Raw genomic sequence first — 27,671 nt, 5'->3', positions numbered from 1 at the left:
AGACAAAGCCTTGTTTTGTAAAGTTTGAATGTATCATTATTCAAATTCCTTCAAAAAAACCTGGGTGGAAGAGGTGATTAAAATAAAATTTAAAAAAGCTAGGCAAAACAAAGTTGAATGCACCTTAAATAGACAGGTTTGGCCTTGTACTCTTGCCTCTTAACAGCTTTGTAATGTTGAGAAAGATACCTCTCTGTGAGAGAGTTCTCTAATCTGTGAAATGGGATGATAGGTATCTATATCTTATAGTTATTAAGAAGATTAAATGAGTTCTGTTTGCAAAGTGCTTAGAACACTCAACCATCATCAAGTTACTTAGAAATCTATATGCATACATTAAATCTCAACAAAAATGCTTTCAAAAATTATTATAATTCCATGCCCTCCACTTAATGAAAGTGATAGAAAACCCTGTGAAAAACATTTCTCCATGTTTTAAAACCCTGGTTCAAAATAACATCCATTTTGTTGCTTAATTTCATTATGTTGTTTCTTATATAAGGATTGCATGACACATTCAATTTTAAAGTTAGTAACAGAAAAATATTTTCTCTCTTGAAGAACAGATAACTGTTTCTATAAAATATTAAAATTTATATGTTACCTTTGGCTTTGGGGAATAATTTGCCAACAGAATTCAAGGTAACAACCTTTGGAGGAAACTGAAATTTAAATGCCGTGTTGGGGAGATACATATGTCTTCATGATCAATTAAATGAAAATAGGGTTAAATTTTGATTGCAGAAACTAAGGAATCTAATCAAGCGGTCTGCCTCAAAGATGGTCAATAGAATCTAGAGTGGAGGTGGGCCAGGAGGACCACGGTGGACAGGGCCAAACATTTCCTCAGAAAATAGTTCCCTCCACACACAGCCCAGAGTAACTGTCAAGCCCCAGCTTCGGACACTGCAAGGCACCGATGATATGGATATTTGACTTTGCCTGAGGATTATCCTCACTCAACTTAATGCTGAAACAGAAATGAAGATAAAGTCTCTGCCACTTAGCCAGCATCCATTGTTTCGTTTTCAAAGCCTAGGAATTACCTGCCTCACCACTGCTTCTCATAGAATTTGATTCTCATGTCATCTTTCCCTGGCCCTAACGTGACATTTATTTCAGAACAAATAAGTATAGTTTGTAGTTACCTGTTCAACTATTTCTCTAATAAAGCAAGCGGCCTATTTTCATGTGTTTTTTCTTCAAGCTGAGTTAAAAGTCTACTTGTATATATTGTGTTAATAGCCAATAAGGCAGAATTGAGTGACAATAATTATACATTTAAGTATATTTTCATTTTATAGTAATTACTCTGTAATTGAAAATAAGGAGAGAGATCAAAAGAGAGAGAGAGAGCACACACATACGTGGAATACACATTGTGAAGAACTTCCCATAAGAGGAAAAACTGTCAGGATATATGCAGTGGGATCCTTTTGTGAGTCTATGTTTTTCTTTGTCCCATATTTTCTATGCTTAATATTATTAGACCACCATTAAGTCTGTACCAAGGACACATGTCAACAGTTGAAGTCATTTTCTCTTTGGCCACAGCTGCAGTTTCAGGTTATTCATGATGACCCTGTATTCAAAGGGCTGCAATAAAGTGACCTTCACCCCCCAATAATCTATTCAAATAACTAATATACATGTTAAGTGGAAACCAGGACAGATGGCAATATCAGCCAGAGAAGCTCTTGTCATTGTTGGAGTCTGGTATTCTGTTTCAGTCTACATGGTGCATTCATGCCAAAAAGTTATCTTCACAATAGCGAAGTTCTAAAAGACCAAGAACTCCATGCAGAGCTTTATGTTAAGATAGCAAAGAATATGTAATATCTTAATATTGGGAGAAATATACATAGGACCCATACAGAGACTTTGCTTAATTGTTGAAACTTATTCACATAAGGAGAATGAAAAGAATTATATATGGTGATGATTCTTTCACTCAGTTGACAAATACGTATCAGGGACCTTCTAAATCCTTGGCACTGCACTCTGTTCTGAGGATGTCATCATAAGCAAGGTAGTCATGGTGCCTTAACTACCTTCCAACCCCCAGTGAAATGACTTTTAAAGGGTTTATTTTTTTAAAAGGCACACACATGTAAAGCCAAAATGCATGCACTAGGAGACAATAACAACAAATCATTTAAGCTGGAAAGCAGATGTAATCATGGAAATGAATTTTTGGAAACCCCAGAATGTTGAATTCTAAAACCAGAAGTGGAGAAAGTCCAGGTGCAATCCAGTTTCCACCAAAGGACTTCCAGAAAGCTCAGGAAATGGCCTCACTGTGTGTCTCTGGAACTGTGAAGCAAGGGTAAGCTTAGTAACAGGAAGATTGATTAAGAGCAACTAGACACCCCCCATCTCCCACTCCTCCATGTAGCTGGGAAACTGAAGTTTTGTTCCATGACTAGAGAAAAACAGAGTCAATGAACTTGGAATAATTAGGCAGAAGAGTAAACAAAGTACCAAACTGAAAATAGTGCATTTAACTAAGAGTTTAGCTACAGAATGTTGAGACTCACAGCTTTCTTCCTCACTGGACTTAGAGAATCCTGGCAATCACATTTCTTGAGGAAGGATACTCAATCAGTTTTCTTTGGGGAATTTGGTCAGTTCAAAATGAAAAACCTAAGGATACTAAGATCAGGGATTCCCTAAGGAAACAGCCCAGCCAGATCACCCTGGAATGAGAGCACAATTGACCCATTTCTTGCACACTCACAAGTTCTTTATTCAAAAATGAGGAGATAACAGTGGATCAACACATGCTTCAGGAAGGCATCTAATTTGACAAACAAAACCAGACCGAAACACCTTGCAGGAAACAGAGACTATGTGAAGAGATAAGATACTGCCTCAGTGGAAAAAGAGTATGGTATAAAAGAGGCACATTCAGAAAACAAAAGAAAAATATGCATGGAAATTAAAATTATAATAGAGGAAATGGAAAACTAAATATAAGATAAAAGTAAAGATATAGTTGAGGCATTTTTCCAGCAAATATAGCAAAATAATAAAGAGATGGAAAATAGCAGAGATTTTTAAAAATTAGTCCAAGGATCCTATTTCTGAATAATAAGAATTCTCCAGTATGAGATTTTTTTTAATGGAGGAGAAAAATCATCAAAGGAATATTCTCAGAATTAGAGAACAAGAGCTTCCCAACTGAGAGGACCATGAAGTGCCCAGCACACTGAATAAAAATAGACCACATTTATTAGGAAATTTTACAACACTGAGGACAAAGAAAAATCTTAACGAATTCTAGAGCAAAAATTCAGATTTCATAAAGTGGATAAAGTATCAAATCATGTCAGACTTCTCAATAGCAATACAAGGTAAATTCAGAAGAAAAAATATTTCTAACCTAAATCTATACTAAATGGTATTATTGATCATTTCAGAAGGTAGACATATCTCACAATATCATGTTTTTATATACATAAGATTCAGAAAATTTTGCCTTATATACACCCTTTCTCAAGAAGCCCTTACAGGATGTACTTCACCAAGCAGGAGAGAAACAGCAACAAAACAAATAGAATATATATGATTTAAGGAATCAAGAAACATGAGATTTAATCCAAGAGAAAGCATGGAGAATCCTAGGATGATGTCTGTGCACCAGCTAGTTTTGAATGGAAACAGGCAGAAGGCTCTAAGAGATTTCTCCAAAAGAGGGAAATTAACAGAAAACCTAATGCTATGTGACTCAGATGAGAATGGTACTACATGGCAATAATACTGTAATAATAATAGTTATAATAATCACTACTGACCCAATTATACTGAGAGAATAGGATGACAGAAAGTGCTTCCGTGGTAAGTGTAGGGAGAGTGTGAAAAAGAACGAAAGCCTTTTCCTCCAAGAGTGACACCAATAATCAATGCCTAAAGCCAAAATTTCAAGACCTACTTGAAAGTAATAAAAGCATGATATTAATAAAGATAATAAAAAAATGCCACAATATTCAGCTAGAAGAATTTAAGTAGTTGCTTCTGGGGAGCTGAAAATGGTGTTGGAGGAGACAGGGAGCTCCTGTTTTCCATAATAAGCCCTGTAGCTCTGTCTCTTTAAGATACGTTCATTTGTTACCTTGAAAAAATAGAGACCAAATGTTTTTAAAACCTTGCTTAGACTTAGTTGTCTGGGAGTTTACACCCCAACAGTGAGACAGATATGATACAGTTATATAAACATGTAACTATCAATTGTGCTAAATGCTATGGCAGAAATTTTTTGTTCAAAATTGTATGATCCCCTATAAAAAGAGATGTGGCTTAGTGTAGAGGGAGGCCAAAAAAATTTTCCCTGAGAGAGTGACATCCTGGTACCTTATGGGATAAGTGTCGACTTACCCCATCTGAGCCTTCAGCTTCTATGGCATCTGCTATGCTGTGTTAGTTAGCTCGGGCTGCCATAACAAAGTACAGGCGTACCTCGGAGATATTGCAGGTTCTGTTGCAGACCACCATGATAAAGTGAGTCACATGAATTTTTTTGGCTTTCCAGTACATATAAAAGTTAAGTTTACACAATGCCATGGTCTATTGAATGTGTAATAGCAGTATGTCTAAAAAATGTACATACTTTAATTAAAGGTAATCTATTGCTAACGATCATCTGCACCTTCAGTGAGTCCTAATCTTTTTGCTGGTGGAGGGTCTTGCCTTGAGGTTGATGATGGCTGACTGGTCAGGTCTGTGGTCGCTGAAGGTTGGGTGGCTGTGGCAATTTCTTAAAATAAGACAACAGTAAACTTGGCCACATCGATCGACTCTTCCTTTCATGAAAGATTTATCTGTAGCATGTGATGCTATTTGATACACCTTTTAACCAGGGTAGAACTTCTTTCAAAACTCAAGTCAGTCTTCTCAACCCCTGCTGCTGCTTTGTCAACTAGGTTTATGTAATGTTCTAAAACCTTTATTGTCATCTCAACAATGTTCACAGCATCTTCAGCAAGAGCAAATTTCATCTCAAAAATCCACTTTCTTTGCTCATTCATAAGAAGCAACTCCTCATCCGTTCAAGTTTGATCATGAAATTGCATCAATTAAGTCACATCTTCAGGCTCCACTTCTGTTTCTAGTGCTTCTGCTAATTTCCACCATAACTGCAGTTACTTCCTCTGCTGAAGTCTTGAACCCCTCAAAGTCATCCATGAGGGTTGGAATCAACTTCTTGCAAACTCTCATTAATGTTGATATTTTGAACTCCTCCCATGTATCATGAATGTTCTCAATGGCATTTGTAATGGTGACTACTTTCCAGAAGATTTCTAATTTATTTTGCCCAGATTCATCAGAGGAATCACTGTCTATGGCAGCTATAGCCTTATGAAATGTATTTCTTAGTTAATAAGACTGGAAAGTCAAAATAACACCTTGATCTATGGACTGCAGAATGAATGTTGTGTTAGCAGGCATGAAAACAAGATTAACCTCCTTGTATATCACCATCAGAACTCTTGGGTGACTAGGTGTATTATCAATGAGCAGTGATCTTTTGGAAGGAATCTTTTTTTCTGAGCAGTAAATCTCAACAGTGGTCTTAAAACACTTAGTGAACAATGCTATAAACAGATGTGCTGTCATCCAGGCTTTGTTGTTCCATTTATAGAGCTCAGGCAGAGTAGATTTGGCATAATTCTCAAGGGCTCTAATATGTTCAGAATAGTAAATGGACATTGGCTTCAGTATAAAGTCATCAGCTACTATGGCTTCAAAATAAAGTCATTAGCCCCTAATACGAGAGGCAGTCTAGTCTTTGAAGTTTTGAAGCCAGGCATTGTTTTCTCTCTAACTATGAAAATCCTAGATGGCATCTTTTTCCAATAGAAGGTTGTCTTGTCTACATTTAAAATTTATTGTTTAGCATAGCTACCTTCGTTAATTATCTTAGCTAGGTCTTCTGGATAATTTGCTGCCGCCTCTATATCAACATTTGCTGCTTCACCTTGAATTTTATGTTATGGAGAGACCTTCTGTTTTTAAACCTAATGAACCAACCTCTGCTAGCTTTAAACTCCTCTCCTGCAGCTTCTTCACGTCTCTCAGCCTTCATAGAATTAAACAGTTAGGACCTTTCTCTAGATTAGTCTTTAACTTAGGGGAAGGTTGTGGCTGGTTTGATCTTCTCTCCTGACTAAATCAAACTTTCTCCATATTGGCAATAAGGCTGTTTCACTTTCTTATTATTCATGAGTTCACCAGAGTAGCAATTTTTAATTTCCTTGAAGAACTTTTTGCTTTGCTTGCACAACTTGGCTAATTGTTTGGTGGAAGAGGCCTAGTTGTTGACCTCTCTTGGCTTTTGACATGTCTTTCTCGTTAAGTTTAATCATTTTTAGCTTTTGATTTAAAGTGAAAGATATGACTCTTTCACTTGAATACTTAGAGGCCACTGTAGGGTTATTAAGTGGTCTAATTTTAATACTAATGTGTCTCGCAGAATAGGGAGGCCCAAGGAGAGGAAGCGAGATAGGGGGAATGGCCAGTGATTGGAGCAGTCAGAATACCCAACATTTATTGATTAAGTTCTCTGCCTTATATCAGTATGGTTCATGGTTCCCCAAAATAATTACAGTAGTAACATCAAAGATCACAGATCACAGCTTGGGGCAAAATAGGGAGACCCTGTCTCTACTAATAAAAATTAGTTTGGCAAAGTAATGTGTGCCTTTAGCCCCAGCTGCTCAGGAGGCTGAAGCAGAAGAATCTCTTGAGCCTTGGAGTTTGAGGCTGCGTGAGCTGGGATTGCACTACTGCATTCCAGCCTCAGTGACAGATCAAGACCCTTTCTCAAAAAAAAAAAAAAAAGAAAGAAAGAAAAAGACACTGATTATTATAACAGATATATTAATAATGAAAAAGCTTGAAATATTATGAGAATTACCAAATTATGACACAGAGACATGAAGTGAGCACCTGCTGTTAGAAAAATGGCACAGTAAACTTGCTTGATGGAGGGTTGCCATGAACCTTCAATTTGTAAAAAATGCACTATCTGTGGAGTGCAATAAAGTGAAGCAGAATAAAGCAAGGTATGACTGTACCATAAACTGGGTGGCTTAGACAACAAACATTTATTTCTCACATTTCTGGAAGCTGAAAGTCCAAGATCAGGGTGCCAGCAGGGTCAGGTTCTTAGTGAGGTCCGTCATCCTGGTTTTTGGACTTCTTGCTGTGTCTTCACATGGCAGAAGGAGGGAGAGAAAGCTCTCTGGGGGAATTTTTATGAGGGTACTAATTCTATTCATGAGGGCTCCACTCTCGTGACCTAATTATTTTCCCCAAAGCTCAACGCATTTTATCAGGGGCTAGGATTTCAACATATGAGTTTGGGGGAGGGGCACATTCAGTCCATGACATTCTACCCTTTTCCCCTCAAAACTCATGCCTATTTCATATACAAAATACATTCATTTCATCCCAGCAGCCCCAGAACTCTTAACTTTTTCCAGCTTCAACTCCTAAGTCTAAAGTCCAGGACATCATCTAAATATCATCTAAGTCTGATTTGGGTGAGTCTCAAGGAATGATTCATCTTGAGGCAAAATTCTTCTCCAGCTATGAACCCGTAAAACCAAATATGTTATGTGCTTCCAAAATACAATAATGGGACAGGCACAGGATACACATTCCCATTTCAAAAGACAGAAATGGGGAAGAAAGGGATGATGAGTCCCAAGCAAGTCCAAAACCTATTAAGGCAAACTCCATAAGACTTTAAGGCTGGAGAATAATCATCTTTAGCTCTATACTCTGCCCTCCAGACCCACTGGGTCAGCAGTCCCACCTTTCGGCCCCACCGGGGTAGCAATCCTGTCCCCATGGTTCTACCTGGCAGGGAGTGAGCCTCCACAGCTTCGGACAGAGATCTTATTGCCTATTGAAAACAAGGCAATGGCCCCTCATTTTGAAACCAGGGAAGCAGCCCTGATAATTTCTAAATCGCTTTTGGCCTCATTCTTCCCTTGAAAAATAGACCCTGTTCATAGTGAAAAATCTCTATGGTCACATCCTGTGAAATCCCAGAAGTCTGATGCCTTCCTTCATTTTTTTCCATCTCTTTCTCTTTTAGTTCAGATTGGCAGTTGCTTTGCTGGGGTAGTTAATTAAGTCCATGGTTCATACCCATACTAATCTCCTTACTGAACAGTCTCTTGGCCATATCTACAGTACTGTCTTCTGAACATGGTTTCTCATTTTTTGCCATATGGATGAGCTGAGAATTTTCCAAATCACTTAGTTCTAGTTCCTTTTTGCTTAATAATTCTGTCTTCAAGTCATTTTTCTCTATTACATTTTACTATAAGCAGTCAGGAGCAACCAAACCACTGCTTAAACACTTTGCTTAGAAATCTTCTCAGCTAGATAGAGGCGGGAGAATGGCATGAACCCAGGAGGCGGAGCTTGCAGTGAGCCGAGACTGTGCCCCACTGCACTCTAGCCTGGGCGACAGAGCGAGACTCCGTCTCAAAAAAAAAAAAAAAAAAAAAAAAAAGAAAGGAAAAAGAAAAGAAATCTTCTCAGCTAAATATCCTATAAATATCCTATTTCATTACTTGCAAATTCTACCTTCCACAAGGCACTAGAACATGAACACAATTTAGGCAAGTTCTTTGCTGCTTTACAACAAAGCTCACTTATTTTCCATTGTTTAATAAGATATTCCTCATTTTCAGTTGAGACCTCATCAGAATGGCCATTTTTACTATCTGTGTTTCTACTAACACTCTGTACATGATTATCTGTGTATTCTCTAATAAGATGGAAACTTCCTCTACATCTCTCCTTTTTCCTTCCTGAGCACTCATCAGAATCTCCTTTAAAAATCCCTTTATGATCATCTCAGTTTCTTAGAGCAAGCACTTCAGAATTCTTCCTACCTCTACTTATTACCCAATGCCCACTTCACTTCCACATTTGTAGGTGTTTGTTACAATAGCACTTCACTTCTTGGTACCAGTTTCTGTGTTAGTCAGGACTCTCCAGAGACACAGAACCAATAGGAGATTATATATGTATATAAAATGAGGAATTGGCTGTATTAGTCCATTTTCATGCTGCTAATAAAGACATACCTGAGACTGGGCAATTTACAAAAGAAAGAGGTTTAATAGATTCCTAGTTCCACATGGCTGGAGAGGCCTCACAATCATGGTAGAAGGCAAAGGCACATCTCACATGGCAGCAGACAAGAGAAGAAAATGAGAGCCAGGCAAAAGGGGTTTCCCTTTATACAACTATTAGATCTCATGAGACTTATTCACTACCATAAGAATAGTGTGATGGAGACTGCCCCTGTGGTTCAATTAGCTCCCACTGTGTCCCTTTCACAACTCGAGAGAATTATGGGAGCTACAATTCAAGATGAGATTTAGGTGGGAACACAGCTAAAGCATATCATTGGCTTATGAGATTATGGAGGTTGAGAAGTCCCATGATCTGCCATTTGCAACCACAGACCCAGGAAAGCCAGTGATGTAATCCCAGTTTGAGTCCAAAGGCCTGAGAACTAGAGGAGCCAATGGTGTAAATCTCAGTCCAAGGGTAGAAGATGAACAATATCCTAGCTCAAGCAGGCAGGCAAGAAGGGGACAAATCCTCTCCTACTCAATTTTTGTTCTATTCAGACCCTTAACTAATTGGATAATGTTAACCCACACTGAGTAGGGCCATCCGTTTTACTGAGTTCACCAATTCAAATGTGAGTCTCATCTGGGAAGACCCTCACACACATACCTAGAAATTATATTTCACCTGGGTATCATTTGGCTTAGTCAAGGTGACAGTAAATCACAGGCTGGTATAACTGGAGGATGCCACCTGGAATGTGCTGTTTAATAATAATGACAAGCTTAGCCCCTGTAACCACATGTAGGATAATATTCACCTGGGATAACCTTTACTGTCTTTGTTCATGGAGACTAATTCCACTGATTCTACTGCAGGAATAACCACCTAGAATTACAGACTGGGAGAACCTAAAGGTCTTCAGTGCTCTAATCTTCCTATACGCTCCTTTTGCAGACAGGAAAACTTAGCCTCCAGGAGGTTTAGTAATCTGCTTAACGTATCAGAGCTATTTAATTCTAGGGCCAAAGCAAGAACTCGAATCTTCAGGTTTATTTTCTATGACTATTCTCTAGAATTTTTTCCTCTTAACCTGACCTTTTAAAGAAAGTAATTATCTCAGCATTGCCCAACAACAGAAAACTTTAAATTTCTTTTTTCAATGATGAAAGAAAACATTGCAAAAAATGATTACTTTTTCTACTTGAGTATTCCGTTATTGTCTAAATGTGGAACCTGATAGCAGCTTAGGGATGATCAATCTCTTCTTTACAAAATAAGTAGTTTATATTTTATATTCATAAATAATTATGTGAAACACTAACAGTAATAACTTGTTACAATATTTCCAAGAATTCCTATAAATATGGCAATATATATGACTTGCATACATTCTCAATCTGTTTTAAATAGTGGCTTTGCATTTACTATGAATGCTTATATTTTAATAGTTTTAATCTTATGTTAAAAAACACATTATCATATCTTAAAATATAAAGCTAAGGAAACATATAAGGAAATATCTCTCCTTCAGAAAACTTTGCAATTCAAGATAGTCTACGTGTGTGTGCGTGCGTACACACACACACACACACACATACTCACATACACACACTTCCCTAAGTTCCCTGAAAAAAGAATATTCATGAGTCAGGAAGTCTATTTTTGCCAGAAAACAAAGCACTCTTTTAAAAGGTTCATACTGCTGCAGCAGAACTCCTTGACATTTTAGTAATGTCTAAAATGGCCAAATCTACAACATTTTGAAATCTTGGCATAGGTCATGATACCATGTACTCTGGTGTTCTTCAGGATTTCCTACCACACCAATAGCAGCTTAATACAAGGTTAGAGAACAAGGCTGTTGTTACTAACAAGAGCATGTAACAGGCGTTATTTTTTTCTTTGTGATAAGGAAGCTTTATAATAACTAGGTCAGACTATATTTCTGATTTTGAGATTCAATTTGGAAAATTCCAAGAAATACTTATAATATCCCAAAGAATAATTTAGAGTTGTGTAAACTTAGTGGTTCATTGTCTCTTCAGAACAGGAATTCTCAGTTATATGTAAGAAAATAACATATAGATGTAATGACCATTGGAAAATATATTAAGCCACATTGTATCTATGAAATTTCATTATGGGCAACATCAGATATCCATGGTTTGGGTGATTCAGGAAAACAATAACTTAAAAATATATATTTTGTGATTGTCACAATGTTCCCCGGGTCACACAGATAGAAAGAGGGATCGGATTCAAGTTTGTCACCTTGAGTCTGTGTTCTCCTCTGCAATGCTAACTCTGATAATGTGATGGCCAGGATGAAGATCTGGAAAGATCAAGAAATCCCTGAGGAACTACTTTTGGAAAAGTGCATCAGAAGAATAACTTGACTACAGGGAGAGTTTTAACAGTTCTTCAAATCCAATACACATTTAACCTAGATATGCACATTGAATCTCTAAATTACTGAGGTCAAAATATTGCAAGAACCCTGCTAAGGTGGCAAAAGTTACTGCAGCAAGTGTGACAGTGAATCATGCAATTAAAGCACAGAAACTGAACGTGTTTGGTTGTTATTGTCCTTGATAGGTTAGCTCTGAGGGATACCTGCTATGAACTGAATTGTGTACCCCAAAATTCATATGTTAAAACCATACCTCAGCAATGTATTTGGAGATAGAGCTTTTAGGAAGTAATTAAGGTTCAATGAAGTCATGAGGATGTGGTCCTAATCTGATAGATTGGCAGCTGTATTGGAATAAAGATAGAAATGTCTCCACAATCATACACCAAGGTAAGGCCATGGAAGCACACAGTGAAAAAGCACACAAGTTCAAGTCCCACGATAGGCCGTCTGCAGGCTGAGAAGCCGGGAAGCCAGCAGTGGCTCAGTCCAAGTCCCAAAACCTCAAAAGCAGGGAAGCTGACAGTGCAGCCTTCAGTCTGTGGCTGAAGGCCTGAGAGCCCCTAGCTACCACTGGTGTAAGCCCAAGAACTTGTGGGTATTAGGAAGAGGGCCCTCATCAGAACCAAACCATGCTGGCACCTTGATCTTGGACTTTCAAGCCTCCAGAATGATGAGAAAATAAATGCCTATTGTTTAAGCCACCCAATCTATGGCATTTTGTTATGGCAGCCCAAGCAGAGAAAGACCTCACCAGCGTGACATACATTGGGAGATAGGAGTGTTGAAGCAATATTTGCCTTATGTGCAGTATAGGATCCCCATGTCCAGAGTTAGAGAGCAGTATTGTGATGGTTAATATTAAGTGTCAACTTGATTGGATTGAAGGATGCAAAGTATTGTTTCTGGATATATCTGGGTGTTTCTGGGTGTTGCCAGAGGAGATTAATATTTGAGTCAGTGGACTGAGAGAGGAAGACCCACCTTCAGGAAGCCCCATCCTCAATGTGGGTGGGCACCATCCGATCGGCTGCCAGCACAACTAGAAAAAGCAGGCAGAAGAAGGTGGAAGAAGATGACTTGCTGAGTCTTCTGGCCTTCATCTTTCTCTTCTGCTGGATGCTTCCTGCCCTCAAACATCAGACTCCACGTTCTTCAGCTTTTGGACTCTTGGACTTACACCAGTGGTATGCTAGGGGCTCTCCGGCCTTCAGCCACAGACTGAAGGCTGCACTGTCAGTTTCCCTGCTTTTGAGGTTTTGGGACTTGGACTGAGCCACTACTGGCTTCCTGGCTTCTCAGCCTGCAGATGGTCTATCGTGGGACTTGAACTTGTGTTTGTGTGAGTCAATTCTCCTTAATAAACTCCCTTTCCTATTAGTTCCATTCCTCTAAAAAAAAAAAAAAAAAAAAAACCCTGACTAATACAAGGGTTTACAAGAGACCAAGGTTCAAAATCCAAGGAAATTTTGAGGCTGTGGAACAGAGTCATTGACTAAGCAGTATTGAACCAGTATTTAGCATAGTAAGTAAATTTGGAATTAAACTAGGTTAACTTCCTTCTACAAGTTGCAAGATTTTAATTAAGCTGCTTAACTCCCTCATTGTAACTTGGGTACTTTATGAATCCTACCACAGAGATAATAATGCCTTTGTCACATAGTTGTTGTGAGGATTAAATGATTAAATATTAAATGATTAGTATTTAGCACAGTGTCTGGCATATGCTCACATCTCAGTGAATTGGTAACTACATACAGCTGCCAAAGTTAGAGAATGTGAGGTCTGAATTGCATTTGTTTATTCATACCCCAAATAATTATTGCTTGCTTACTATCTGCCAGGCAAGATTTTAGGTGCTAAAGATACAGCAGTGAGCAAAACAGAAAAACAAAACTGTTTAAAAACCTACCTTCATGGAGCTTACATTCTGGAGTTCTGAGGGTAATGACAAAATCAGGAGTTGGCAGGCTCCCAGCTATGTACCATATCCTAAAAGGTCTTGCTCTGGGCAACTCATACAGTCCTTGACTGGGAGTGGCTACCTATATGGAAAAAGAGACAAAGAAAATGTATGCTGTCAAATAGCTTGTCACATATATGGTATTACTGTTTTCCTTTTTTTTCAAAAATGCATGAAGGACTCTTGACATGGCATTTTGTTAAAAGCTACTTGTCACCCTTCTTTTTTTTTTTAACCCCCTCAAGCCAACTTTTCCCAACTCCAGGAAGAACCAGGAAGAGAAGCTATCACCCTTATTTTCTAAAGGCTTCCTTCTCCCTCATCTCTCCCCTTTGAAAAGAAAGCTTTATATAAAGCCAGCTTCCTTAGCCTAAACAGAAGTATACCTTGATCTGTTCATTGTCGTGCAATGTTTTGCTTGCTCTCTTGAACCTTGTCTCTGAAAGATTTCAGCCTAACACAAAAGAAAACAGGTGTTAAAACACTTTGGGGAATTAAAACTTCACAATGACACATTTCTGAGAGGGCCCCTGCCCAGTTGCACACTCGTTTTCTTAACTTTCATGGAAGCCTGTCTAGGGCAGCTCTGGGAACCTTTTAGTGTTCCTATGTGTGTATTCTCCCTTGTCACCATTCATCTTTCCTTTGGATTAAGAAGGCAAGTTAAAGTAGTGAACTTTTGCTGCATAAATAATTAGAGACTAGATTTTGCTTTGTTTTGTGGCCATTTACTATGTACTTTGTGATGTTTGTCATTCTTTTCTAACCCATGTGCAGGGCTGATAGGTAAATGGATTTGGTTGTGAATAATAAACCAGTTTTCACATCTAAAACCCATTCACCAAGAGATGTCTCTGTGGTGAGAGTGTGGCAAAACAGGTTGTTCTTTTGTTGCTTTAGAAATATGCCTGATTTTCCTGTATTATTTTGGGGTAACCTTTGTTCATATATATAGAATCCAATCAGAGCAGCTAAGGGAAGCATTGGTATCAGTTGCCTATCCTTGTATGCTTAAAGAAAAGAAAGCCAAAAACTGTTAAGAGCAAGTCTTTTAGCAAAATATCAATGAATAAGCAATTTTGATAAATAAATAATCAGTAGAAACAATGCTGAATGCTGAAAGCAAACTGCACTTATTCCAAAAAATTTTCATGTTTAAACACAGTTTTGAATTCCTTTTCCTCTTCTCATATAAATGCATAAACATACTACTTTTTCTCAGCTATGAAAAAACATTCTTATTTCAGTAAATTTCCTTCTCTTAGGTTTACTATATGGATCATGGAAAAGGTATAATTTTACAGAGTTTGTTGCTTTTCATGTACATTTATAAGTTTATAGTACCAAATAAATATAGCCTTTCAAATAACAAACAAACTCTTACAAAAGGAAATTCTTCCTTCATAACTAGAACACCTCTCACAGGACTAAGTCTTTTGTTAGTAAGATAAATTCCAGAAATGGATTTCAGAATAAAGACCTCAGTGTTTGTTTTTATTCTTGTGAAACCAATAAAGTGCTGACAAAGAGTGCTATAATATGCCATCATACTTTAGAAATAAGGCACATTTAAGAAGGTTCTTTATTGCCTTCTGAGAGTTGGATATTGCTAACCTTAGCCACACTACCACAGAAGATGCTTTGCTTTGCATTAGCAAAAGCAGGGTGGTTGATCCATTTGAGCGCCACTTGATTACATACACACTTAAAAAATGTCAAGACTTTAGGAACACTAGAGTGATTATCATTCTGTGGCATTATGTTCCCATAGGTTTAAGTCTGAAATATACTGAATTTAAAGGAGGAAAAGGTATGGCTATCGTAATGTATGTTTCCATTGTTCTTCATATCATTTATTTCCTAACAAATTGCAACCCATCTCAAAAGGCCTAACTATTTCAAGGGTTATTCTTGTGGATAAAAAAAATGCAAGATTATTTTGATACATACTTGCCTTCTTGAATCTGGATGTCAAAATGTATGATACTACCCATTCAAACTACGGTAGAACTGCATTGCAATTCTGAGGACAGGAGAGGGAAATGGGATAGGGAAATACAAACTAATTTTCAAGCCCTGGTGAAAGGACTAAGAATGTGAAGGAAATGCAGGTTGCACAGATGACTGAAAACAGGAAATGGGTAGGGAGTTTGTTGCTAAAATGCTCTGCTTAAGAGCTCTTAGGGCTTAAGAGCAGGATTCCCAACTCTGGCTGCAGAATCACCTGGGGAACAGACCAGTCTTGGGAGTGACTCTCATCTAAGCTAAGGCCACATAAAAGAACGGGTATATAGGACATAAAAATAGATTTATACCCCAGAGCCTTTCTCTATGCTTTTTAGAACACCTATACTGTATGTGTTCAACAATTATACCTTGCCTTGTTTTTGGGGGATAGCGTGGGGTGAAGAGGTAGTTTTTTTTAGAATCATTTACCCTGAGTAGGCATTCAGTAAATGCTTTGTTGCCAATCTGACTCCACTTCCAGCCGCAACCCCATGGAGTTGAGTTGAATGACATCTAAACCTGTAGGTAAGCATGCATGTATACATAACCCTTGTTGTGAATGAAAAGCAAAATTAGTTCTTTCAAAAATGTTAGCTTGGCTCTGATTAGAGATAAAAATAAAAACTATAGGTTTCTGCCAATGATACAAGTGGCTTTTTCCTACAAGGTACCCATTTTTATTTTCGACAGCATTTGTCTTTCTTGAGAAAGTCCTTCATTCAAGGACCACATTGCAACCGTGGATCATTTATGTATAACTTAGTAGATGATAGACATTGGAAATTACCGTGACAGGTGTTTTCACATTGTTTCTGATGATCTGAGAAAAAGCACATTGCCAGAAAAGAGTGTGGAGAACTCAAATTCCTCAGAATCAATTTGAAACAGTCTTTTGAAATAAGAACTGCTTTAAAGAAGCATTTTGGAAAGGGGTGGGGGTGGGGAGAACAGTTCTTGAGATGAAAATACAGTTCAGTAAAACAAATTTATTTATTGATGGAGACTATACACTGTGCTTTAATTTATTCATCATTATTATTGCCTTGAAATTGTTTTTTGTTACCATTCATATAATGGCCTCAGGAGGCCCAGAAGAGAGCCAATGAAAACAATTCTGTGGGTGTTACTAGTGAAATATTTCATTATACTTCAAGATAAGACATAAGAATATACTAAAGAGACAAAGGAATACCAAAAGCTGAAGACTAAAAAATACAGAGAAAGAATGTCTTTTTTATACAATGGCCCATCAGTGCTAGCACTAATCTGTAAAACCAGTAGCAGTTGTATTAAGTAATTTATGTGGGAATAACAATTGTTTTTATATTACTTTTGCTGTGGACGATAACATTCTGTAAGCTCGTCATATTTTTAATCTTGACTTAAGAAAAATACTGCTGTGGCAATTATTAAAATAAGAGTTCCATTTATCTTTGTGCAAGTAGCTTCTTCTCTTCCTCCTGTGTCCTCCTCCCTCACGTGCCCTCCCCTACCTGACTCCATTCCTCCTCCCCCTTAGCCAAAGGCATTTGTGAAATATAGAAGCAGTTATGTCATGCTGTTATTTTGGGTATTCTTAATAAATGCTTACTGTATTTCAGAGGTGGTCTGAGGAGGTCAGCTAATGCAATTTCACTTTGATTACTTATTTGAATTTTGGATGCAAAGAACCCTGAACCAATTCCCTGAATCTGTCATAATCATAATTTAGTTATCTACAGCTGCTTCATTAGATTTAAGTCTCTTTCAAGAGGATATTGATTATTCCAGTTCTTTATTATATAATAACAATATTCATAAGATGCCCTGTTCTCCATCTTCATTTGCTTGACCCACTAATGGGTACTGGTTTCAAATTTTCTTTTCCAGTCACAACATCCCCTTTAAAGTTCGGTGATTATAGTGACACAGCCATATCAAGTAACACCTTTAGCTACTTCAGGTGTTATACATTGGATTTTATAAATTCTGCCCCTTTCAATACATCAATACACCTTTGCTGTTACCATTAGAAGTCTGTATCTTAAACTCAAATCTTAGCATGGCATTCCAGAGCTTAACATCCTTCAATGCTCCTATTATCTACCTTGCACTTTTCTTTTTTCTTTTTTTGACAGTCTCGCTCTGTCACCAGGCTGGAGTGCAGTGGCATGATCTTGGATCACTGCAACCTCCACCTCCCGGGTTCAAGCAATCCTCCTGCCTCTGCCTCTTGAGTAGCTGGGACTACAGATGCAAGCCACCATGCCCAGCTAATTTTTGTATTTTTAGTAGAGATGGGGTTTCACCATGTTAGGCAGGATGGTCTCCATCTCTTGACCTCGTGATCTGCCTGCCTCGGCCTCCCAAAGTGCTGGGATTACAGGAGTGAGCCACCGTGCCCGGCCTGCATTTTGCTTTATAGAGATAGGTGGTATGAGAAAAGTCTTAAACCAAAACGAGAAACTTGTTCCAGCTAAATGAAATAACCAAATGGGAACATTAGTGTTAACCCATATCGACTTTGGTAAGTAATTTTTTAAAATGTGGTTATATTTGACAGTTTGTATTATTGCCAAAAAGAAAAAAGAAACACATTCATCATGTATGAACTTCTCACTTAAATGATTCATTAATCTTTTTAAAGGAGTTTTTTTGAGAGCATCTAGAATATTCCAAGCAGTGGTCTAAGCTGTGGAGATTAACAGTAAAAAAAATAGACATTGTCTTAGCCCTTATGCTGCTTACACTCTGGTGGGGGTACAGGCCAGTAAAGAGATAATTGCATCACTCTGTGATAGGGACTTTGATTGGAGAGAACAGGGTTGTAAGGATCTAGAGAAAGGGCACCTGGAAAAAGAACTGCCAGAAAAATCTTCCTGAGGAAAGTGACATCCAAGCTGAGACTGAAGAGGAGAAATTAGCCAGGCTGATTAGGATAGTGATCTAGGCAGAGGAGCAAAGCCCAGAGTATTCAAGGCATTGAAAGCAGCTCTGGATGAATGAATGGGCCAGGCAGGGTAGAGTGGGAACAGATGAAGCTGGGGAGCAATTAGGACCCCAGTCACGCAAGGTCACAATCAGGGGGAGGGGCAGTTTGGGGGAGCCAGAGAGGTCTTTGAAGTGTTGACTTGAGGTGCCTATAGGTATCCAAGCAAGATTTCCAATAGGCAGAGTCTGCATTGCCAATAAACAAAGCATTTGATTTTGTTTTTGGGTTTTTTGTTGGTTTGCTTGTTTTTGTTTTTGTTTTGTTTTGTTTGAGATGGAGTCTTGCTCTGTTGCCCAGGCTGGAATGCAGTGGTGTGATCTTGGCTCACTGCCACCTCTGCCTCCCGGGTTCAAGTGATTCTCCTGCCTCAGCCTCCTAAAGAGCTGGGACTACAGGTACCCGCGACTACGTCCAAGTAATTTTTATATTTTTAGTAGAGACAGGGTTTCACCATGTTGGCCAGGCTGGTCTTGAACTCCTGACCTCAGATGATCCACCTGCCTCAGCCTCCCAAAGTGCTGGGATTACAGGCATGAGCCACCGTGCCCAGCCAGCACTTGATTTTGAAATTTACAATTTAGTAGCTAAATTTAATTAAGAAGTAGCTCAATTTCTTGAGATTCCTTGGCGAGTTCATTAGAAATTTCTTTGACTTATCTCTTATTACTAATTTATAATTCACTTAGTTCTATATCTGTAGCTCCCTTTCTCAACAAATTTCAGAATTATGTGCTTAAAAATATTTTATTGATGAGTTAAGTAATTACTCATTTTTAATTTCTTTGTACTTTTTTCAACTATAAGTTGACATAATTTAAAATGTTGTGGCCTGCCATAAGAAGTGCAAAATCGAGAATATAAAATAGATTGTAGCATTACATTAAAAGAGTGGATTCTGTGGAAGTTTAATTCCCCATGCTTGTCAAAAGTTGTTAAAACATTGCTAGCCCTTTTTGAATGTAAAATGTGGGCAGACATGTACTAATATATCAAAAAATGACACTTTGTCAAAGAAGGCTTTCATGGAAGAATGTTCTGAATAAAATGTTTTCTTTTAAAAAGAACCCGACCTGTTTAACATTCCAAAGCAAACACAAAAGAACACAAAATACCTGAACTCACTGCCAGTCACAACAGTTAGTTTCATTTACCCTTTAATACTTTTTTTTATATTCCAAAAATTGTTCCCCAAAAGAATTATCAGTTTTATTTCATGATAACCCTGGCTTGAAGTAAAATAAAAGTAGCTCTGACCCTCCTCAAAATGGATTCTTTTCAGACTTACTAGCACTTCTAATAGTATGATGATGATATAGGTGGCTATGTCTACTGTTAGACTCAATGTAATTATATGTGAAGCAACAATTCCCTTATCTATTAGGAACACTTGCTGCAGTTAACTGCATTTCACTGTCTGACAGATGAAATGCAGAATTAAAATCTCAAACTAGTTTCTCAAAGTTTTCTTTTCCCCCCAGTCATTTAAAAATCTTTTAGCCTAGGGGAAGATGGTAGCTGGAAAAGAATGGGAAACCAGATGGCATTTAAAGGCCTTAGCAAGATTTACAAAGCAGATGTGCCTGTATTTTTACCTATTCTAGCTCCTCAAACGGGTCTTCTCTGCTATAATTGCTTTGCAATGGTTCCAATCCTTTGAACCTTCTGAGGATGTCCAGAGTTACGATAATGTTTGATAGTTGAAATGTTAAACTGAAAATCAATAGATAATTGGCTTTGATTACTACCTAATACTGTCTAATCTAAATAGGAGGAATATTTGTATGTGTTACTCATATTCTTTGCAGAAAACACACTGAAGCCTAGCTCTTGAGCGGGGATATCGTTCATTGGAAGAAACAGAAACAGATGGCAGTTGTGGTAATTGAGATACAGTGTAGCTTAAAGGCATCCTGGAATGCCACCTAATAATGGTAGTGTGAAAAGGAAAGAAATATTCTGCACAACTTACTTGATGTGTAAGCTGAGTCTGATTTTACAGCTTTATAGCCTGCTCACAATTAAAATGCCCCAAGGGTTATTGGTGGTGTTGGGGGTAGAGATTGTGCAAAGTTTTGAGCTAATGTTAGAGAATGATGGGAACAAATCTCCCCAACCATAGAGGTTTGTTGGAGAATAGAAAGCCCTGGTTTTAATAAAATATTAGAGAATTCTGCATATATTAATATTTGTATAAAAGGACACTAAGATTGGGGGCAACAGGTTTTAATTACTAATAGTCAAGCCAAATGTGTTACCTTTACCTTTTCTTTAATTTACACTATTACTGCAAGGGAGAACTATTTTGTTGTTGTTTGTGGTGGTGGTGGAAGTGGGGGTTACAAGCATCTCACAGTTGAGAATGCCTTCCTAGCCCTCTGAGATGGGAGCTGAAGACAGTAAGGGGCAGCACTGTGGATTTAGGCTTTGAGTCTTGCCTCCGTAACTTACGAATTATAAGTATGAATTACGTATTCCTTAGTCTTTCCAAGCCTCACTTCATTCATCTGTAAAATGGGCTGAATACAACTTTATTAAGCATTTAGTTCAGTGCCGAACACATATTCAGTACCTAATAAATTATAGCAATCATCATCAATAGACAAATGTGCACAGCTTAGAAGTTTTTCCCACCAAGCACACTAAGGATTGTAGGACATTCATGGATATAGTTTTTTACTGCACCAGGAAACCCCATCCAAATGGATGCAGGAGTGTTTCAGAATATCCTCAGAATCTATAGACCAGGAAACATTGTTGTACATCACTACCCACTATTTAAACTGTTTGTTTAAATACAAGTTAAAAGCAGAACTTTTGCTTGAAAACACCTTCTGGCCACATTTATTGGACTGACTCATAAGAAATTTTATCACACTGATTGTTACACACTTATAAATCATTTGCTAAAAGCAGTGGTTTCTCCTAAATGTATTAAGGCCAAAATTAATTTCTTAAACTTACATCGCTTTAAAGTTTAAACAATCATATCCTTAGCTATGAACTATTATTTCCTGGAAGGTTAAAGTATATATCCTATGTGCAAAGGAAATGTCAAGGACATATCAATATTTGATTTCATTACACATTAGCTATGCCAGAGACCCTGCAGTCCTACCTAATGTAAACAGCTCACTAGGAGTCCACAATAGAAACCAACAAAAGATGCAAATCGATCCTGCTATATTTTAATATTAAAATTTTACAGCACTTTTTGAACTATTTTATAAATTAATTAATTTCAAAATGGATGAGGCAGTAACATTGAACTTTAGCTAATTATGTTTAAATTAAATATAAGCATTTAAAATAACCATTTTAATTAAATACAAGGTGCAGGCAGCTAATCATTAAAAGTGGAATTGGTAACTTGAGATTTATCATCCTGAAACCACTTGTACCACATTTCTAATGAGTTCTTTCCTCTACTTAAATGAAGGACTAAATTTATTTCCCCAACGTGGCAGCTAGTAAAAGATAACTCTTTCTCAGGTCATGGTTGTCAGTTTGATGTTGAATCAGAGTAAAGAAATCTGTTTTGGTATACTCGCTTTGATCCGAAACAGTATTTACTATTTGCTAATCCATTTCCAACTGACAGTACTGTAGTTCTACAGACACCTAAGAAAAGCCCTAGTAACTGAAACAGCATTTACTACTGCAACAGAAAATAGTTACATTTTGTAAAGGAAATTGATCCTTTTTATAGAGGAGACTCCAAGGAATAAAATCTAAATAATTTTGTGATTAAATTTTTAAAAAATTACATTACAACTTCAAGATTGAGGAATAACACTCAAAAAATCATTTTATAAATTATGGATATATATACTCTATATTTACATTTGTAACAATATACATATGTACATACATATATAAATTTGTATTTTTTAAAAAAAATCATCAGCTAGTTTTTCTAGTGCAATGTAATTATCATTTAGCATAAACTCTGACACTTAATAAATGTTTGTAAAGTAAGTGAATAAATAACTGATAAATTTTATAAAATGTCTTTTAAAGGGCTCTCTCTTAAAATCATTTTTTGTTAGCTCTTACCTTCTACTTTAACCTTCTCCATTGAAAGAGCTGATAAAGCTGAAGTGTATCTACTCACAGCTTTGAAGATTGTGTGTTTTTCCCTTATCTGTTGCTTTCCTGTATTCTAGAATTAGTACAAATGTTAAGAATCTAAAAGAGAGCATAACCTCTGGTGACTGAAAGGGCAATTTAAAGGCAAGTTTGCATGTTTTGTTCCTTGAACTAAATACCTGCAATTACTGATTGTCACATTTTTCTTCTGTTGTAAAAACTGAACTAATTGAAGGTATTACCCTTAGGGGACAAGCTCTACAGTATAATGAATGTTGAGTGCCCTCTTGAGTTTAGCATTTTAATTATTTATAATTATAATGATTTCTGTTTATTTGAGAACTTTGGAAATAATTCTAGTTTATCAAACAAATTGAGAAACAGAGTAGTTGAGGCTTTATTTTGTTATGTTTCATACTGAGGTCAGCAGGCTTATGGATATGCCAAGAAGTTCTCACAAGCAAAGGAGCCAGTTTTCTGGGCATGACTGATATGTGCCATGTTCTAAAATAGCTGGATGTGTTTTTTTCTACTCTCTCTCTGATTTCTCTAGAACGATGTGGGCAATATTGGGGTTGTGAGGTGAAGAGTTGACAAGAACTCAACTGGAAGAAATTGGAAATAATTTATGAAAGTATGTTAATCAGAGAGGAGACACAGTAGACTCAGTAGCTGGCTATTAGCCAAGTGTATACATTTTTAACACCTTTTTCTTTACTTGAAAGAGATTGTCTGTGTGTGTGTGTGTGTTGTACCCTAAATATATTTGCATATAATAGATCCAAGTAAAAGATGGGTTTCTAGGCCATTATGGACCAAAATAATCTTTTTGTCAACTGCAATTGAATATATATTAGTGAAATGATGTATTAGGGTCCTACAATCTGTTTAGATGTCATATACACTCTTAACAGCAGCCTGAAAGAGTAATTAAATATTACTTTTAAAAAAGAGCTTGGCATTGCAGTCTGTTTCATTTTTCTCATCTCTTTCTTTTTTTTCATCCCACTAATACAACACTTTAGTTTTAGAGCCAAACATGTACTCTGCAGCTAGAGAATTAGAATTACTGGTAGCTTACATTCAATTTAGGAAGAAGCAGCAACTGCATAATACATCCAAATAGTAGCAAAGGTAAGAATGATTGATATAAATAATCATATAGCTATCAACAGGTCTGGAGATACACAATACATAACATTTTAAAGGAGAATAACTTTAACCATTCTCACCTAAAATTCTCAGCAGCCAGATCAGAAACAAGGTTCTGCTATACAAATGTTATTTAAAAGTCTATGTGGGTAGCTCCCCATTTCCTAGCCCATCTCTGATCAAGGGAAATTAACAATTACATATTCCAGGGTTAAGCTCAAATGTGATTTCTGCTCTTCCCCTGCAAATTGTTCAATAAAGGACTGGAAGTACTGTGAAAAAAGAAAGAGAGAAAGAAATGTTCTTATCATCCACAATATACTTCTCCTTCCAACAGCAAATCTAACCACAGCTGGGAAAAAGCAGCAAAAACAAACAAACAAAAAGACTTAATTGGAAAATCACTTTGCCTCCTTGTCCACCCCCAGGTGCTAAAGCAAGGGATAAACCAAAAGGACAGCCAGTAGGTGAGGAGAGGCCATGGAATACCCGCCAACAAGATAATCATCGCTGGAATAATAGGGACCTGTCTGAATGTAGGTATGTGTGCCGAAGACTTCTACGTGCTCTCGCAGTCCATTATCTGGCATTCCCTACTTTCATCCGTGTTATATACCTGCCATCTCATCACTCACAGCCACTCGGAATCCCCTGGTGGCCCTCCAGCAGGAGGTCTTTCTCCTCTCTTGAGCTTCTAAAACACTGTACAAAATCACTTTAAACTGCTTCCTGCCTCAGTATTGCCCACATAGAAACCTTCCCCGTCAATGAAATGGATTCTTTTTTAAAAATTTTTTTTATTGATTTTCTTTTGCGTGTGTTGTTTTTTGTTTGTGTGTGTGTTTGTTTTTGTCAAGCTGAAGTTATCATGAAACTGATTCTTATTTCCTAAACACAGAGATCCTTTGTCTTTGCTGTTCCTATTATCTGAAATATCTTTCCCAACTACTCTTTGATAGTTTTAGGTCTGTTTACTCTCGAACGCCAAACAAACTCAAAGGTCACCCACATCACAACAATCTTGCCGATTTCCTCATCCCCATTATTTCCTTTCTTCCAGACTTCTGTAGAACTTGTTGTATACCTCCTCTGACATTTGTTTGACAAGTTCTATCGTGCTTTTTATCCATATGTGCATATATCCTGTGTCCTTGCTATAACAACTGTTTCTTTCTGGAAAAGACAGGATCTGTTGTGTTTTTGTATACCAGAACCCAAGAAGAGGGGAAACCAGCATGTCACCAGCTGCTGTGATGGAGTCAGGTAGCACAGGGAAGTGGCTCAGAGCAGGGACTCTGGAGCTAGACTGCCTGCGTTTGAGATCCTGCTCAGCCAATTACTAGCTGGGTGATCTTGGCAAGGTTTTTTGTTAAAACTGTTATGCCTTAATATCTTTAAAATAGGGATAATAATACTATGCATCTCATTGAGTTGTTGTGATTAAATGAGTTGATTAGAACAGTATCTGACACACATTAAACACTCAAAATTATTGCCTACTTACTACTGTGTCTACAGTAATATCCCATCTTAATTTTCTCCATAATGCTATAAAACATATGCATTGTTCCCATCCTCAAAACAGGAACACTGTGTCCCTGGATAAAAATACTAAAGGAAGCAGAATCAGAACTAAAGTTTCTGGTCTTAAACCCTAGGCTGTATCATTCTGAATATTGTCTCACACACATGTGCGCAGTGACCAGTTGCTATTGATAACAATAACATTTATTCCTCTCCAGCCACACACAGTGGCATGTGCCTGTAGTCCCAGCTGCTCAGGAGACTGAGGCAGGAGAATGGCTTGAGCCCAGGAATTTAAGGCCGCAATGAGCTATGATCGCACCACTGCACTTCAGTGTGGGTGACAAAGTGAGACCCTGTCTCAAGAAGAAAACAAATTATTCTTTTCTGTTCTTATAGTTTTAAACTAAAGTATGCTGAGATTTCACTGTTTTATATTAAAAAATAATCAGAAGATGAAATGTTTCCACTTAACTGTAAATACCTTTTTTTAGTGAGCTAATTCAAATTGGATGGAGTCAAACTACTTTTTTTCAGTCTGACTCAGAGGCTAAAATGCAACTCAACAAGTATTTTATGTTCTGGGGCACTGAAGGAAAAGGAGGGAGAAAAACAAAATGGTTATTCCTACCCTAGGGTATTTTAAATCTAGGTGACTCAGTAATGGAAACACAGCAGAAACATCGAACACAATTTAACCTCTCATTCCTAGGTTCACTGTGAGATTGGTCCTTTTACGGTCCCTCCCTCACCCTGTGTAATAGTGCAGGTTGGATACAGTATCATTATCTATAAAAAAATAACATTTTAGGATTTGGTGGAATATGCCATTTAAAAGTAAGCTATACAATTTATATGAAGTAGTTTTAAAATTATTTTATTCTATTTGAAATTGTTTTGGAGAATTTACAAAGACCTTGGCTAAATGGAGCATGCCAGCCACTCTTGGAATCTCTTTATTGTCTAGAAAATCATTAAGTCTTGTTCTTGTCACTTGCAAAGTTCCTTGGCTGCTGCTATTTCTTTGTGCATGTGAAGTACTGAGCACTGTGCTGGGATGTGGCAGATGACTGATAAATCCTTAGATTATTGGTAAATATTTTACCACCCTACTGATGATACATTAAGTTTACTGTGCCTCCCAGCCCAACACCGAAGTCCAGAGTAGCTTCATAGACTCTCAGTAGACCTAAGGAAACTACCTTTAGGTGAAGATGACCAAGAGTAGGGATTAGAAGGATGAAAGATGACCAAGAGTAGGGATTAGAAGGATGAGCAGTTTTGAACACTTAACCTTATTCTAGGTATTTTTACTTTATTATTTTTATTTATTTATTTTTTAAAGTTTTTTAGAGATGGGGTCTTGCTGTGTTACCCAGGATGGTCTTGAACTCCTGTCCTCAAGGGATCCTCCCGCGTCAGCCTCCCAAGTAGCTGGATTATAGGCAGGAGCCAGCGTGCCTGGCTTAGGTTTTTAACTTTACATACATCATTTCATGTAATCCTCAAATAACTCTATGAAGTAGGCATTGTTGTCCCCATTTACCAACAAGGAAGCTAAAATCCAGAGAGTTTAACTAATATGTTTAAAAATCACAGAGCTGGTGAGAAAGAATTTCCGGCGCAAGTCTAATCCAAAGACCAAACCAATGATGTAGCAGTCATGGGGGTGAAGTGAGCGCGAGGTTCAGTGTCCTGAGGTAGGTACTCTGACACTGACGTCAAGTTGCCTCAGGCATATTATAGAATTTCTTCATGCTTCAATTTTCTCATCTCACATGACATTACTATGAAGATCAAGATATTTTATTTGTGAAATAGCTTTGAAATGATTAGAGGTGCTATAAATATTAATTATAGTTGTGAGTTTGGTAAATATAAACATTGAAACCAAACATCCCCAAAGGATTTGAAAACCCTGGCAGGCGATGGGGAAGAAGTGGAAGTAATAAAATGAAACAAAGACCAAAGATGTAGAAAGCCCATGCTCATGCAGGGATTCTGGGAGCAAATCTAGACAAGATTGCCCCTAGTGACCTAGCGCTGATGCTGACCCGATGCTGTGCAGTTCTCAGTTACTAAGTGGCAGTTACCCTTACATGTTAGATCATGTTTTAAAATGTAGGTATAATGGCCATAATCACTAAACCAAGGATTGGACATAGGACAAAACATTAAATATCAGAACTGTTGCATATGGAGCCCTGTACCTTGTATAAGGAACAGTTGTATGGCAAGCTCTTCATCTGGAGCATTAAGAATAATACTATCCATCCATACATCATTTTAAAAGTACATCCCAGCATCCCTGAAACACCCCAGGAACCTCAATGGGATACAGCCCAGTGCTTCTTGGAACAATCTCTTTAACAGTTTTTCAGAGGAATTAATGGTACTTTAAGTTATGGCTGATGACTGGTTTTGACCTTGTAGATGTTGAAGGGAAGTAAATGTATTTG

The 27,671-nt window shown here is 37.5% G+C and overlaps 1 protein-coding gene and 1 long non-coding RNA gene across 12 annotated transcripts in view; one reads left to right on the top strand and one right to left on the bottom strand.

The window, feature by feature from the left end:
* Nucleotides 1–27,671, bottom strand: part of HDAC2-AS2 (HDAC2 and HS3ST5 antisense RNA 2) — a 371,029-nt gene that overhangs the window by 148,151 nt on the left and 195,207 nt on the right. Inside the window, exons 7-8 of the long non-coding RNA NR_125845.1 lie at nt 13,859–13,926; nt 13,422–13,554 (exon numbers count right to left, since the gene is read on the bottom strand). This is a non-coding gene — a long non-coding RNA (HDAC2 and HS3ST5 antisense RNA 2). The remainder of the gene's footprint in view (nt 1–13,421; nt 13,555–13,858; nt 13,927–27,671) is intronic.
* Nucleotides 1–27,671, top strand: part of HS3ST5 (heparan sulfate-glucosamine 3-sulfotransferase 5) — a 287,428-nt gene that overhangs the window by 150,445 nt on the left and 109,312 nt on the right. For 6 of the 11 annotated variants that reach the window (NM_153612.4, NM_001387044.1, NM_001387045.1 and 3 more), the window contains exon 3: nt 24,117–24,228. The exons of 3 other annotated variants lie outside the window; for them this stretch is intronic. The gene's annotated coding sequence lies outside the window, so the exon portion shown is untranslated. The remainder of the gene's footprint in view (nt 1–24,116; nt 24,229–27,671) is intronic. 2 more of the 11 variants (NM_001387041.1, NM_001387043.1) reach the window with 1 other exon arrangement.

This window comes from Homo sapiens, chromosome 6 (genome assembly GCF_000001405.40).
Source record: "Homo sapiens chromosome 6, GRCh38.p14 Primary Assembly".
Classification (NCBI taxonomy): Eukaryota; Metazoa; Chordata; class Mammalia; order Primates; family Hominidae; genus Homo; species Homo sapiens.
The sequence above is the reverse complement of the archived record's forward strand: the minus strand, read 5'-3'. Positions and strand labels throughout refer to the sequence as shown.